General features: G+C 48.3%; 3 annotated features.

Moving 5' to 3' along the window:
• Positions 3,463-3,966: an enhancer, noted in NCBI's record as "H3K27ac-H3K4me1 hESC enhancer chr1:234675813-234676316 (GRCh37/hg19 assembly coordinates)". NCBI's record gives its function as "activates a minimal SCP1, AML or CMV promoter by ChIP-STARR-seq in primed H9 embryonic stem cells {active_cell/tissue: H9 hESC(primed)}" and the evidence as "EXISTENCE:reporter gene assay evidence [ECO:0000049][PMID:30033119]".
• Positions 5,340-5,840: an enhancer, noted in NCBI's record as "H3K4me1 hESC enhancer chr1:234677690-234678190 (GRCh37/hg19 assembly coordinates)". NCBI's record gives its function as "activates a minimal SCP1, AML or CMV promoter by ChIP-STARR-seq in naive H9 embryonic stem cells {active_cell/tissue: H9 hESC(naive)}" and the evidence as "EXISTENCE:reporter gene assay evidence [ECO:0000049][PMID:30033119]".
• Positions 5,841-6,341: an enhancer, noted in NCBI's record as "H3K4me1 hESC enhancer chr1:234678191-234678691 (GRCh37/hg19 assembly coordinates)". NCBI's record gives its function as "activates a minimal SCP1, AML or CMV promoter by ChIP-STARR-seq in naive H9 embryonic stem cells {active_cell/tissue: H9 hESC(naive)}" and the evidence as "EXISTENCE:reporter gene assay evidence [ECO:0000049][PMID:30033119]".

The following is a 14,463-nucleotide window of genomic DNA, read 5'->3' on the forward strand; positions in this document are numbered from 1 at the left end:
GCAAGGCAAGAACCTACTGAAACCTTTTTCATCAGTGCCCCTAAGTCTCCAGGGACAGCAACCCCTATCATATACCAGGGGCCGAGAATAGAAATAAAAATTGTGAACACAATCCTGAGCATGGGCTGATGGTACTAGCTGCCAACAACTGCCCCATTAGTAGGCTATGGGTACGTGCTAGGGAACATTTTCTCTACGAGGCTTGCATTTAAAAATATATCTTTCTTCAAAGCTGGCCCGGGGAGTGGATGGCGAGGAAGAAGCCTTCTTTCTCCGTGCTTATTGGGCGCTAATTCATCCTGTGATTTGCTGCGGATAGCTTACTTCTCTGAGCCTGCGTTTGCTGTGTGAGAATGACTGAGATCCTGTCTTTCAGCCAGTTAATGTTTTAGACAATTCCTGGATGAAAGCCACGCTCCAGAATTCGTCCCCCGCAGTGTGTTTCCTGGGTGCCCATGGGGCCAAGGAGGACAGAGGACGGTAGCTAAGGGTAACCCTCACTACTAAAGGCTCTCACCTCTTCTTCCTCCTTGGATGTGTCCCTGAAGACATTTGTCTCTTGGTTTCTTTATTCTCAAAAGGAGGACAATTCCTACCCGCTCCCTAAGAATGTTTAGGAGTAATAGCTAACAGAAGTTATTTAAAAGTACCTGGCAAATAACATTCAGGACCAGGTGCTGAATGATCCCCTTCCTCACACCACCCTACCTAATGCATTACCTATGTGCTCCCCTTTCAAATGCATTGCTGACAGACTGCCCTATGGGGTGTAAGGCTATTCTGTACAGAAGAGGTCTCTCGGGCTCCTCCAGAGAAGTTTGCTTTGCAGGAACCGCTGAAATCCTTACATGTCCAAACGCATGTTCTGGGTAGAAAAAAACAGGTGATGAGCTGTAAGGTAGAAGGCTGCCAGGATCCACCCATGGGCACCCAGGGTTTGGCACCCCTCTTTCCAGGGGGAAGCAAAAGTGAACCAATCAACACGACGAGGTCAAGTTCAAGTCTGCCTCAGTAAAACCCTGGGGACTTTCTTCTTGAAAAACAACTGGGACAGTGTGACAGCTGTTTAAGGATGCCAAAGAAAAGGGTCCCCGGGGAAACCTCCCCAAGGGCTACTCTGCTTGCAGGAGTCTGTGATAAGTGACAAAAAAAAGACAGACAGTGAGAATAGGGCAAGCCAGGCCCAGGTGAATGCTCTGATTAGCTAGTGATCGGAGTGCCACAAAGATGTAAGATCTAGCAGTGACGACAATCATGATAATAACTACATTGATTATTATGGTTGTCATTGAGGCCTGTTAAACAATAGACTGCCTTTTAGCTGTGGCCCCTCTAAGAACATTTTACCCAGAAAAGTGTACCACATTGCAATCCTCACAGCCCCTTCCGTGGCTTCATTTGGTATGCTTACAAATGAAACACAAATCAGGTTTTATGGTTGCTAGATACATATTTGCAACAACTTTAAAATCTGGTTCATGATGCAAGTTGTTCCTCACAGCAAATGCGTGGTGGGACGTCAGAACGACGACAAAGGTGGGAACAAAATCTCTGCCCAGAGATGTGACGTGTTGGAGGCGAAAACAGATTGCATTTGCATGGCAGCCACTGCCACTGAAACAGGCTGGAGAAATTCCTTTTATGGCAGGCACTGGACTTAGAACCCAAAGACCTGGATTTCATTATTGGCTCAGCCACCTCCCGGCAGTGTTAACTGGGGCAGGTTAGTTAACCTTTCAGAGACTCGATGGTCTCACCTGTAAACTGGAGCTCAGGATACCTAGCTGTCAGGGTGGTTAGGATGGTCAAAGGGCACCCCCAGGAGCATGATAAACATGAGCTGAAACAGCGAAGTCGGAATCTGTATACAGACATGACCTGTCGCCTCTCGGAGCATTAACCCTCCCAGTGAACTGGCAGGAGAGGTCTCCTGTCTTACTTCTCGGAGCAGAGGCACAGAGCTGGGAAGTCGGCCTGCCCACCTCCCCTGAGAGCTGGCAAGAGAGCCAGGAATGGGATGCACGCACATGCCGTTTGATCCAGAGCTCTTGCTACCAGGCGCATGGCCTCTTTAACAGCTCACCGGTTGTTGGATTTGCTTCCATTTTCTCCTGGGCCTAAATCGTTCCCCAGCTTCCAAGGGGCACTCCCTCTTTCACACTTGAGGGTACCACCCAGGGAACTGAAGGCTCGGAAAGAGTAGCAACAGGGAGTAACATGGGCACCAGGGAGAAGGAGGCTTGTTATATTCTTTCTAGATGAATCTCCAGGCTGCGGCAGTCCCGGGCGAGTCCCAGGCCTGCCGCAAAACCTGTCCGCCGTGGGACTGCCTCAACATGCTGTTTGGGAAGTCAAGATGTTCAGTGTAAACTTTGTTCTCCCTTCCCTTTCTTCGGGGATTCACAGAGGCAGCTCTTCCAGGGCCTTCCTCTCCAAGTCTTTCTGGTGCTGAAATCTGAGGTCACACACCCTGGAACACGACTTCTCTGTCAGAACAAGCCCGTGAAGCGGCTGTCCTATCCGAGAGGGCTGTGCAGCGGGTGGTGTTGGCCCTTGAGTTTGCCATGGTTTGGGTTTCTCAGTGGCACTATTTTTGGCAGATTTTTTTTTCCCTCGCTCTTTATCACAAGCCCGTCGGGGAAATGACAGCGGAATTGCAAGCTTGAATGGACTTGTTTGACAGGCCAACTTTCATCCTGAGCACTGCTGCTGACTTTTAAAAAGGAACTCTGAGAGGAGGATAGTAATTTCACACTAATTCCTTGCTGTAATTTGCTTTTGAGTATAAAATGTCGTGTTTCAATCACCCTAGCTGCGTGGTGTAAGGGAGAAGATGGGACACACGTGTGGTTAATGTGTTTGTAATAGACACACACAAAGACACCACTTTGCTCTGAAGCAACAACACAGGAAACACTCATCCACACTTCAAGGGAATCTCCACCAGGTACAAACAAGTGCATTCAAAGGAATTCATAATACATTGCCAGCTTTGGCAGAAACAGAGAGCTCCTTTAAACAGAAAATCTCACGCTTGACATCTCCATCATCCAAGCGTTTATGAGAATATCTTTATCCCCCAGGCTGCATTATGGAGAGGAATTGGGGTGGTTTTAGGCAAACCCCAAAAGTAGGAGGGTCTGAAACCCTGGATGGACTTAATGCATTGGGGGAACAGATCAGGTTCAGCTGAGGAAAGTGAAATTCATCTGGGAGAAGGGTAAGTTAATAGGTACTGGCCAAAAGGGAAATAGCCTCCACGCTGAAGAGAGCTGATGAGGCTGTGCTTGGAAAATCCCCTAAGAAAAAAACTACAGGGTCTCACAGAGAAGCCAGTGGTGAGGGCTTTGCCCAGTTTAGAAGCAGGAAGCAACAACTTTTTCTGATTTATTAATCTGCACATGGAAGCACCCTAATCCCATCCCTTCACCAACTCTCACCGCACTTAACTATCCTGGCCACACTGCCTGACATTTCATTTTTCTCCCGGGATGGCCGCTAATATTTCACATACTTAGTCTTGCTCTCACCTAGATTATAAATTCCTCGAGGTCAGGAGTCAAAATCCAGCCCCAGGCTCCTTCCCAGGACTCCGTAACTCCCTGGAGGATTGCAGAGCCCTTCACACATTGTTCGCAAGGCTTCTGAAACAATGGCAAGATTGCACAAGGGCCAGGAAGGGTATTTTTAGAACAGATCCAAGCTCTTTGGTGGGCCCTCAGGCTGTTTACCACCTAACCTGACCGCCTTTGGTGTCCTTCTGGCCCTGGCTCCATATGCCGTGTGCTCCAGCTGAGCAAAACTAAATGCTCTCATGCCTCCGTGTCTTTGCACGTGCTGTTCCCTCTGCCAGCTGCCCTTGCCCCTTCTTGCATCTGTGGACTGTCTTTCAGCTCTAGGCCGCCTTCTCTCTCCCCACGGAACTGCCAGCATCCCTTAGGCAGAGCTGATGGTGCCTCACTCTGTGGGTCCAGGGTGCTTTCTGGAGGCCTTAATGGGGAGGCAGGGCCAGCTGCCAGTCATCAGGTTGGTACAGCCATCGGGTTGGTACTGCCTGGTTGGCAGGCCTGTCTTTTCAGTTAGCCTGAGACTGCCTTGAGGCCAGGGCTACCTTCCTCCCTGTCTCTAAGTTCTTGGCCCCCAGCACAGTGCCTGGCACTCAGCAAATGTTTCTTGAATGAATGTGCTTCCCATGTTGGGCAGATCATGACGAAGGCAATAGCAGGGCCCAGTGTGTAATGCGAGGACAGCAAAAAGGGACCCTGCTTTGAGACCAGAGATGCTTCACAGGGAAGCCACATCTGGAGCCCTTCCTGATAAGCTGGGTCAACTGGGACCGCTCCTAGACAGGGTGTTTGAGGAGGTGGTGCTTGCTTTAGGCAGCCCCAGCCTCATTCTGAGAGCTTGTTCCACTTTGAGGATTTCTCTGTTTTCCATTTCCAAATCTTTATGCTATCCCTCAGTTACACTTGCTCAAAGGGTGATTGCTAGCAGTCTCCGAAGATAGGCTAAGAGGTGTGGGTAAGCGGCAGTGTGCTGGGGTTGGGGATGGGGGGACAGGGCATTGCCCGGGCTGTGTGGGAGGCAGGAGCGAGATGATGAAGATTCTGGACTCCAAGCTGGCCCCAGATGCCAGCCCACCTTGTGTGATACACTGAGAGTGCCTCAGTTTCCCTGCCTGTTAAACAGTAATGGCTCCTTCATTGAGTTGTTCTGAAAAATCAAGTTAGTACAAAGGAAGCACAGAAAGTGTGCCTGACACAGGCAATCTCTCACTGCATGCCAGCTCCTGGCATTTGGAATCTGAAGATGGAATCCAGTCTGACTTCCTTCACTCGCAAGTTGTCCAAGTCACCTCACCTCCCCATTCATGTTCTCATGTCTCTGAGATGAGGATAATAAGGCTGACCTTGCCGGGTGTTGGGAGAATCAGATAATCAGAGAGTGGAGTGAGTGCATTTTGCAAGCTACAAGGTGCCTTCCCAAGGGAAGCGTGAAGTCACCTGGGTGAAGGTATTGGGAAGTGAGGCCCTGTCACAGATCCTGCCCCACAAGAGCTACCCCTGTAAGGAATCAATGACTCGGTATTAACCATGCTTTTAATTTCTGTAAAGTGATGCATTGACATCCACCTAAGGCCCTATTTGCCAACCTAAGCCAATTGTGACTCACCCGTTGCAATGGTTAACTTTATGTGTCAAGTTGGCTGGGCTGTGCTGCCTGGATGTGTGGTCCAACATTATTCAGAATGTTTCTGTGGGAGTGTTTTTGAAAGAGATTAACATTTAAATCAGCAGGCTTTGAGCAAAGCAGGTGGCCCTCCATGTTGCAGGTGGGCCTCATCCAATCAACTGAAGGCTCCAGTAGAGCCAAGCCTGACCCTAGGAAGAGAATTCTGCCAGTGGACGGTCTTCTAACTTGAACTGCAACATCATCTCCCTGGGTCTCCAGCCTGCTGGAGATTTTGGACTTTTCAGCCTCCATAATAATGTGAGCCAATTCCTTAAAATGTCTCTCTCTCTCCCTCTCTTCACCCATCCCTCCGCTCCGCATGCTTCTATTGATTCTGTTTCTCTGGAGAACCCTGGCTAATATACCCGTAGACATCTGGAGTCCTCAGATAACTTTAAACTCTACACTCTGACAGTCACAGTAAAGGTGAATTTCGCAGGGGTGCCACTTGCAAACACAGCTAGCCGGTCCCGAGCCCGCACACCCTGCCTTGCTTTTCCTTCCCATGGAAACCACCCTAACAGCTCCTGCCACTGTCCCACTCTCCCTCTGGCTCCTGACCCACCCCGAGGGTGGCCCTGTGGTCCTGCACGCTGTGCCACTGTGGCCCTGCACGCTGTGCCACTGTGGCTCTGCATGCTGTGCTGTGTTCTCCCAGGCAACTGTGAGAATACTAAATCTTTCAACTTTCTCCATCTCTCTCCCGACCTCGCCTGGGCTTCCTGCACCTCCTCCAAGGTAATGTGATGAGACAGACTGTGATTGCAGCCCAGTGCCAGCGAAACTGTGGGCCAGCCCTGGCCCAGAGCTGGGCAAGTGAGTTATTTGTCCCTGTCACGTGGTGCTCTGCCAGCTGCGACGGTGCTATTCTATGTGAGATCTGGGGCTGATAGAAATGATGGCAAACTTCTTGAGCAGCTTAGGCTAAAAGAATTGGTCTTTGCATAAAACAGAAATTGTCATCATCATTATAAACACTATCCTGGCCCTCCAGAGAGCCCAGATGAGCTGTGTTCTTGGTGAGGACAAATGTCCTTCCAGAAGAGGGGTATTTATTGGCTCTTCAGGTCCCAGAGAAGTCCCAATCCCCCATGCAGGAAGGATTCCAGAAGCATCCATGTCTGAGGATAGGACCCTATCTCAGAGCAGAGCTCGCTCGCTGCACCTAGGGGAAGAGGAGGACAGTTGCTTTCCAGAAAAAAGTTAATTTACCCTGAGTGATTCATAAAGTTGCAGAATCACAGAATTACAGAACCTTAGAATTTCAGAGGCTGAAAGGGATCTAACAGGGCATCCGGGTCCAATACCCCTCATTTTAAGCAAGAAAAAAAAAATAATTCCAATTAAAATACAGCCCTCCACTCGTCTGCAGTTTCTATATAGAGCCCCAGATGAATGCTAATTAGAAGACTGGTTGGAAGAACAGCTTTTTCCTACAACCGGTGTTCATTTTGTGGGATTTCTCACTGTTGATTAATTAATGTAAGCATCCGTCCATTCACCTGTTTGTCTGTTCACCTGTCTATTCATTGCTGCATCCATTCCTCACCCCAGTAAAAAATTGAGGCAGTTACATCAAGAATACAGACATGGTTTGCTCTCCCTCCCTCCTCCTTCCTTTTTGTTTTTCTCTCCCATCCAGGATGAAGACGAGCTAGCTCTGCGCATGTGTGCGTGTGGGAGAAAGGCCAGTTGCAGTCAGTGTCACGGTGCTGTTTTTGAAACTCTGCAGGTCCCTCATAGGCCGGCTGATATCACCCATGCCAGGATTGCTTGGCCTTGACAGAGCCTGTGTTAGAAGGGACTATCATGAAGGTATCCAAGATACTAAAGGGCTGAAACAAGCCCCTCTCTTGTCTTCACAGTATCTTCCAGTGGCAGACAGGAGGCCACTGGATGAAGCTGAGGACAAATAAATGTCAATAAACCACCACTGGGAGCTGCTGCTCCCCCATTTCCCGTGGCCTGCAGGGGGTCACTGAGTTAAATGTTACAGCTGATTGTGAAAGGGACCTGGTGAATCCATGATCAATAATGACATTGGTTTTTACACGAGCTAAGATAAGGGTAATTAAATCTTGTGCTTCAGGCCATATAAACTGATCTCCACAGGAGGGCAAGAATTAATTTAATTCCACACACACAACCCCTTCCAACCCCTCTGACAGCTTTAGTATAATGGACTCAGTGCAGGATGGGGAAGATAGAGCACCAGGTATTAACCACCACACCTATCGGGAGCTTGAACTTGATGGGCCTCGTGGCTGATCCAGGGCAGCAAATCCAGAGCTGCTTACAGCTTCTCTCTGTGCTGGGTTTATTACATACAATCTGTACAGGGGCTGTTTCCACACTTAATGGCAGTCCTGAATCACTATCTATTTCCCATCCTTGCCTGCAAAACAGCAACCCAGAGCTAGTGCTATGCCGTCAATACCGGGCCCCATAAAGCCACTGCTGTATAGATTTGCCTTTTTGTGCATGTGCGTCTGATTCACGAGCACTTTGGCAGCCTTCCAGGCTTGAGGAGAGGAAAAAAACATCCTGAGCATCCCAACAGCCTCATTTTGATCTGTGATACTGAGCAACTCATTTCCACTTCACAGGCTCTGCTGAGCTGTGCCACAGAAAGACAAATCCCAGATGTGGCAGGGGTGGGAGGCGGTGGAGGGAGAGGGGCTGGCTGGAAGGAAGGAGGGTGCAGGAGAGGGAGGGAGGGAGGGAGGGCCAAGGGAAGGGAGGGAAGATGAAAGCAGAAAAGGGCCACATTTATTAAGCTGTTTTTCTTTTGGTGAAAAGAAGCATTTATCAGTGATTTCATATATCATGTGAGAGGTGGCTTCCTGCCAATTTCCAAGAATCCAAACAACCCGCTGACATCATATGCTAAATATAGCTCAGGCTTTGCTTTAGGTGAACAAATAATGCCGCTGGACAGGAATAGGTTCTCTTCAGTTACATGGTTATTATGATCGGCTGTCAGGCTTGTGTAATCAAAAGAATCATGTCCAGTTCCAAGGAGGAATGGTGCAAAGAACTCATCAAACAATTTCGGGAGATGACTGATGAACCCCCATTCCTCCTGCCTTCCCAGGTGGCCGGCTGAGCCTGGCTGCTGGAGGAAAGGTGGGCAACTCTGTTGTTGCAGGTCTTCAAAGCCCTGGTGTGTGTGTGTGTGTGTGTGTGTGTGTGTGTGTGTGTGTGTGTGTGCGTGCGCTGTATTTCCACCTCTGCCCTGCCCATCAGAAAAGGTGGCTGATCTCTCCAAGGGAAATGCGTAGAAGGAAGACAGACCTTCAAACTCACAGATATGGTGCAGGAGCTATTCATGAGGCTGGGGCAGGAGCGAGCGGGGTGGGGTTGGTGGCACAGATAGTTCAGGCAGTCTGTTTATTCTGCAAGCATTCAGGTAAGGGTGCTTGTCTGAAGGCAATCGGAGAGCCATCTTCCACGGCTCTTGGGCTCTGGTACTTTTGATTCTACCTCCCATAGCTTTTGTGTTGTGCGTGTCCTGTCCGGGACTGGTGCCTGTCATTCTGTCTGAAGCCACCTGAAAGATTAAGATTCGTAATGAGACCTCTCCCTCCTCTGCCAGCACTCTCCTTCTCCCTGCCCACTCCCCCAGGCTCACACTGGGGAGACAGGGAGCTTGGGATGGGTTTGTAAGTATTTGGAGGAAGGGGCAGCAGTAAGGAGAAGAGAAGGACGAGAAAATTAGTGAGGGAGATAAGGAGCCGGTGCATCAAAATAGCTGCTGGAAGGTGTTGTATCCCTTCGAACATCTGCATGATTTCCCTTCTCAGTCAGGGATACAATAGAGGTTGTTACTATGGAAACTGGTGTAAAAGCAGCACAGAGAAAGGAGAGGGCTGGATATAAAGAGGAAAGAGTAAAAGGCATATACCACTTTTAAATCATCAAAGAGGAATACTATAGCACTTCCCACCTCCAAGAGGAGGAAATAAGTCACTGAGCCCAGGGAGGGTTGAATACTATGATCATGGGAGGGGTCAGAGACTATCGGACACCACCATCCTTTCCCCTGGAAGCCTGTGTGTTGAATCTGTCCACTGCTGTAAGATCGTTAGCCAGAAAAGAACGTCCAGGCAGTTGAGGGTGGTCAGCTTCATGGTAGATGGCATGCTTGGCTCTGCTCGGCCACGGCCTTTGGGAATGGCCTTGGAGGGAGCAGGCCATTTTTCTGTGTCACGGTTTCATCACCTGCCTTCCTCAGAGGAATGACGAAGCACCTTGCTCAAGAAAGAAATGCTAGTGCCATTCAAGGCAAAGAAAGGACAGAGCTTCATGTGCTCTGTGTGCAGAGGGAAAAAATGTGAGCAATTCCAGCTGGTGTCCTCAGCATCATACCCAAGAGGGGCCACGGACCAGGCAGAGGCCAAAGTCTGTGCGTACCTAGCCAGTTTCACTTTGTTTCAGTGTGGGTATTAGTGGGATGAAATCATTTGCTCAGGCTGAGGAGAGTTTTGACAAGTCATTGGTGTTTCATGCAGACTCATACACGCAATCCTGTAGACCAGTCTGTCCGATAGAAATATGACGCGAGCCACGATGCAATTTATTTATTTATTATTATTTCTATAGAGACAGGGTTTCACTTTGTCACCTAGGCTGGAGTGCAGTGAGGCAATCATAGCTCACTGAAGCCTTGAACTCCTGGGCTTTAGCGATCCTCCCACCTCAGCCTCCCATGTAGCTGGGACTACAGGTGTGAGACATCACACCCAGCTAATTTTTAAATTTTTTGTAGAGATGGCTGGTCTCAAAATCCTGGCCTCAAGCGATCTTTCCACCTCGGCCTCCCAAAGCACTGGGATTACAGGCGTGAACCACCTCACCTGACCCACTATGGAATTTACAATATCCTAGTAGTCACATCCAAAAAGTAAAGAAACAGGTTAAATAAACTTTAATATAATTTCTCTGTCATGTTATTTAACCCTGGTATATCCAAAATATGATCATTTCAACAAAATTAATTCAGAGATTATTGATGAGATATTTTATACCCTTTCATACTGAATCTTTGAAATCTGGATTTATTATTATGTGTGTTATGTGTATGAGAGAGAGAGAGGGAAAGAGAGAGAGAGAGAGATAGAAAGAAAGAGGGAGGGAAGGAAGGAGGGAGGAAGGGAGGGCCAAGGAAAGGGAGGGAAAATGGAAAGAAGGAAGGAAGGAAGGAAACAGGTCTCTGGCTCAGGCACTAACTCTAACTACGTGCCTTGCATCACTGTGGGAGCGATAATAACACACACTCACTCTTTGAACAGATGGTCAGCCTCGAGTACCTCCCTTTACCATTGAACAGTGACCCCTCATCCTCCAACCACAATCCATGGCCGCTGGAATCAGACAAACCCAGCTGAAACCACAGCTCTCTTTCTGAGTGCCTCTCTCTGAGGGAGTTTCTTAACCTTTCTGAGTTTTCCTCAGCTGTGAGATGGGAATCCTATTTTACAATTGAAGGTAGGTCCCTCAATTGTTTTGGGGATGGAATAAGAGAATGCCTAAGACCAGGTCTAGCACTGATAAGGGAAGCTCCTTCCTGTCCCTTATCCCAGCTCTAGTTTGCCAGTCTTCCGCTGAGCACCTAATCTTCTCCAGGCCTCTGTGAGTGAACAAACTAGAATTGTACATTTTTCATGTACTCAGAAAGCCGCTTGAGTAGAAAGGAGACTTCAAGGACTAAGATTGAGTTTGTTTCACTAATTCACTCCAGGCTGATCACTGGATGTTTCCCCAATTCAGAGAGATACTAATATGCAGCCATTCAGAAAGAGTCCTTTTGATGACCATGGGTTACATGGTAAGATGTTTAGAGAAGAAAATTAAAATATGTCCTTCCTTATAAATAAGATCTAGCATTTGGTAGCACAGTAGGGTGACTGTAGTTAACAATAATTTATTGTATATTTTAAAGTGGAATTGAAATGTTCCTAGCACGAAGAAATGATAGGTGACGGATACCCCAATTACCCTGATGTGATTATTACACATCGTATGCCTATATGAAAACATTGTATGTACCCCGTAAATATAGACAACTATTATGTACCCATAATAATTAAAAATTTAAAAATAGGTCCTTTCTGTCCTAGAGTGGCATTGTCCCATATAGTAGCCACTAAACTCATGGGGCTATTTAAATTTGCATTAATTAAAATTTGAACATTTACTTTCTCAGAAACACTAGCCACATTTCAGGTGCTCAATGAACACATAAGGCTAGTGGCTACTGATTGGACATTTCAGATATAGAACATTTCTGCATACTAGAAAGTTCTGTCACCACCGCTCTAGATTTTTAGTCATTTATTCAATATGCAGCCAAAATAAAACTCAGAGACAGCAGGACAGCATGCGTAAGCAGGCCTAAAGTCAAACTGGGTGGGTTTCATCCTTTCTCCACTTTGGCCATATGTCAACTTAAGTTAGTTTCTTTTTTTCTTTTGAGATGGAGTCTCACTCTGTCATCCAGGCTGGAGTACAGTGATGCTATCTTGGCTCACCACAACCTCTACCTCCCGGGTTTAAGCGATTCTCCTGCCTCAGCCTCCAGAGCAGTGGGATTACAGGCACCTGCCACCACACCCGGCTAATTTTTGTATTTTTAGTAGAGACGGGATTTTGCCGTGTTGGCCAGGCTGGCCTCGAACTCCTGACCTCAGGTGATCCTCCCACCTCAGCCTCCCAAAGTGCTGGGATTACAGGTGTGTGAGCCACCACGCCCAGCCTTAAGTTTTTTAACCTCTCTGTGCCTCAGCTTCTCAGTTTCATCATCTGCAAAGTGGGAATGATAGTAATATAACTTAATTCAGCAGATTATTATCAGAATCAAGTAAAGGAATGCAAGTAAAGTGCTTATAACACAGCCTGGCAGGTCGTAAGTGCTTAGTAAATATTAGATATGACTATTCATTATGCCCCATTAACTCTTTTCAAAAACAAGAGAGGGTTAGGATTATACTGAAAGGTGAAGGTGCCCTCCATTAACCCAAAAGACTTCCTGGAAGAGGTAATCCCTTAAGCTGTGATTCAAAGGACGGAAAGGCATTCTCCATTATTCAATGCATTTGATAGGCATTTATTGGTCATTTGTTATATATAAAGCACTGTTGTGGCTGTTGGAGATGCAAAAATGATGACAGAGGGTCCATTCTATCTTGAAGTCCCGTCTAGAGAAGGAGAAAGCCTACACAGTTGATCCTTGAACAACACAAGTTTGAACTGCACGGTCCACTTATGCATGGATTTTCTTTTGCCTCTGCCACCCCTGAGATGGCAAGACCAATCCCTCCTCTTCCTCCTCCTCCTCAGCCTACTTGACATGAAGACATCAAGAATGAAGACCTTTAAGATGATCCGCTTCCATGTCATGATGAGCAAATATATTTTCTCTTCTTTATGATTTTCTTTTCTCTAACTCACTTTCTCGTGAGAATAGTGTCTAATACCTAGAACATACAAAATGTATGTTAATCAACTGATTATGTTATCAGCAAGGCTTCTGGTCAACATAGACTATCAGTAGTTAAGTTCTGAGAGAGGCAAAAGTTATATGTGGATTTTCCGCTGTTAAGGGGTTGGCGCCCCAACCCCCATGTTGTTCAAGGGTCACCTGCTCTTCCAGGAGTAAGAGCAGTGATGGATTTATGCACAGAGTGGCAGGAGACCCTGGAGAAGAAGCCCTAGCTCAGCGGGGAGACCAAGGAGGACAATGTGGAAGGGGCAGTCCTGAGTAGACCCTTAAATCCCTGGGAAATGGCAGGCTGTGTGCAGGCGTGATCAGACCTTCAACAGCACCTAAAGTTACAAGGCCCAGTCTCAGAATCCCCTGGGGATATTCAATCAGCATCTTGATGATTGACAAGATGAGCTTCAGCCTGTGCCTTTAACACTGCAGGGGCTGAGCCCCTCTAGCAGCATCTCCAACACCACCAGTGGACCAGCAGCCCTGGGGCCTGCCTGGCTTCTGCAGCTCAAGGCGCAATGGGAAACCACAGATGTCACAAAAATTGGCTCCCTTCCGCCGGGCGCGATGCCTCACACCTGTAATCCCAGCACTTTGGGAGGTCTAGGAGGGCCGATCACCGGAGGTCAGGAGTTTGAGACCAGCCTGGCCAACATGGTGAAGCCCCGTCTCTACTAAAAATACAAAAATTAGCTGGGCATGGTGGTGTGCACCTGTAATCCCAGCTACGCGGGAGGCTGAAGCAGGAGAATTGCTTGAACCCAGGAGGTGGAGGTTGCAGTGAGCCGAGATTGCGCCACTGTACTCCAGCCTGGGGCGACAGAGTAAAACTGTCTCAAAAAAAAAAAAAAAAGCTCCCTTCTAAGACAAGTGAAAGCATGTAGCATCAGGGAGATGTGCCCCATTATTATTCTGGTCATTGTTGGTTCTTACAAAGTTGAAATTTTAGCATCTCTCACGATGGCTCTTCTAAAAAGACCCCATGTGTTCTTGGGAAGAAAGGGCAGGCTGAGGCTGCCTTGAGAATCTGGCTGGGTCTGTTGGTCTAGCATTGAGAGGCTGACACGCCAGCCTACTGCCCCCAAGGGCCGGTTTCATATGCAAGTCAGGCACCGCCAGCCAAGTGGGAAAGGCAGCCCCAGAAGAACATGTTTCTGGTGACTGGGAAGCTTTGAGCAGACCTACAGCCCTGGCATAACGATGAGCCTCCTGCACAGGCAGCGGCGGCCGACAGCCAGGCAGGAGGAGGGCGGAGGAGCGGCGCACAGCCTCCACCAGAGCATCTGGGGGCTCAAGCCGCCAGAGAGCCCTGGAGACTAGGTAATGGAATTCCTAAACGGATGAAGCACTGAGCTCCAGACCCCTGTCCATGCCCAAGGACGGAAACATTGTATTTCTCCTTGGGACTTCAGGCTTTCCCCCTGCCTTTTCCTGTTCTTTCCAGCCGTTGCCTGGGCAGGAAGAGGCCTTTCCGAACAGACTTCTTTGTCTTCCACTTGGTCTGCCCCTCCAGGTCTCATCCGGGACTGTTCTGTGCCTCACAGATCAGAAACACTGTAGGGGTGACCAGCCCTCCAGCACTGTCTGGAACCATCCTTGGTTTTAGCTCTGAAGGTTCCTGTATCCTGAGAGAGGCCCTCAGGCCTGGGCCAACCTGCACCTTGCCCAGCTGCCCCCTTAGCCCTCAGAGCCAGGTTGAGGTACTGCCCAAGCAGCAGTCATGTCAGGATTCTCCTTCC

This window comes from Homo sapiens, chromosome 1, assembly GCF_000001405.40.
Source record: "Homo sapiens chromosome 1, GRCh38.p14 Primary Assembly".
In the NCBI taxonomy this organism is placed as follows: Eukaryota; Metazoa; Chordata; class Mammalia; order Primates; family Hominidae; genus Homo; species Homo sapiens.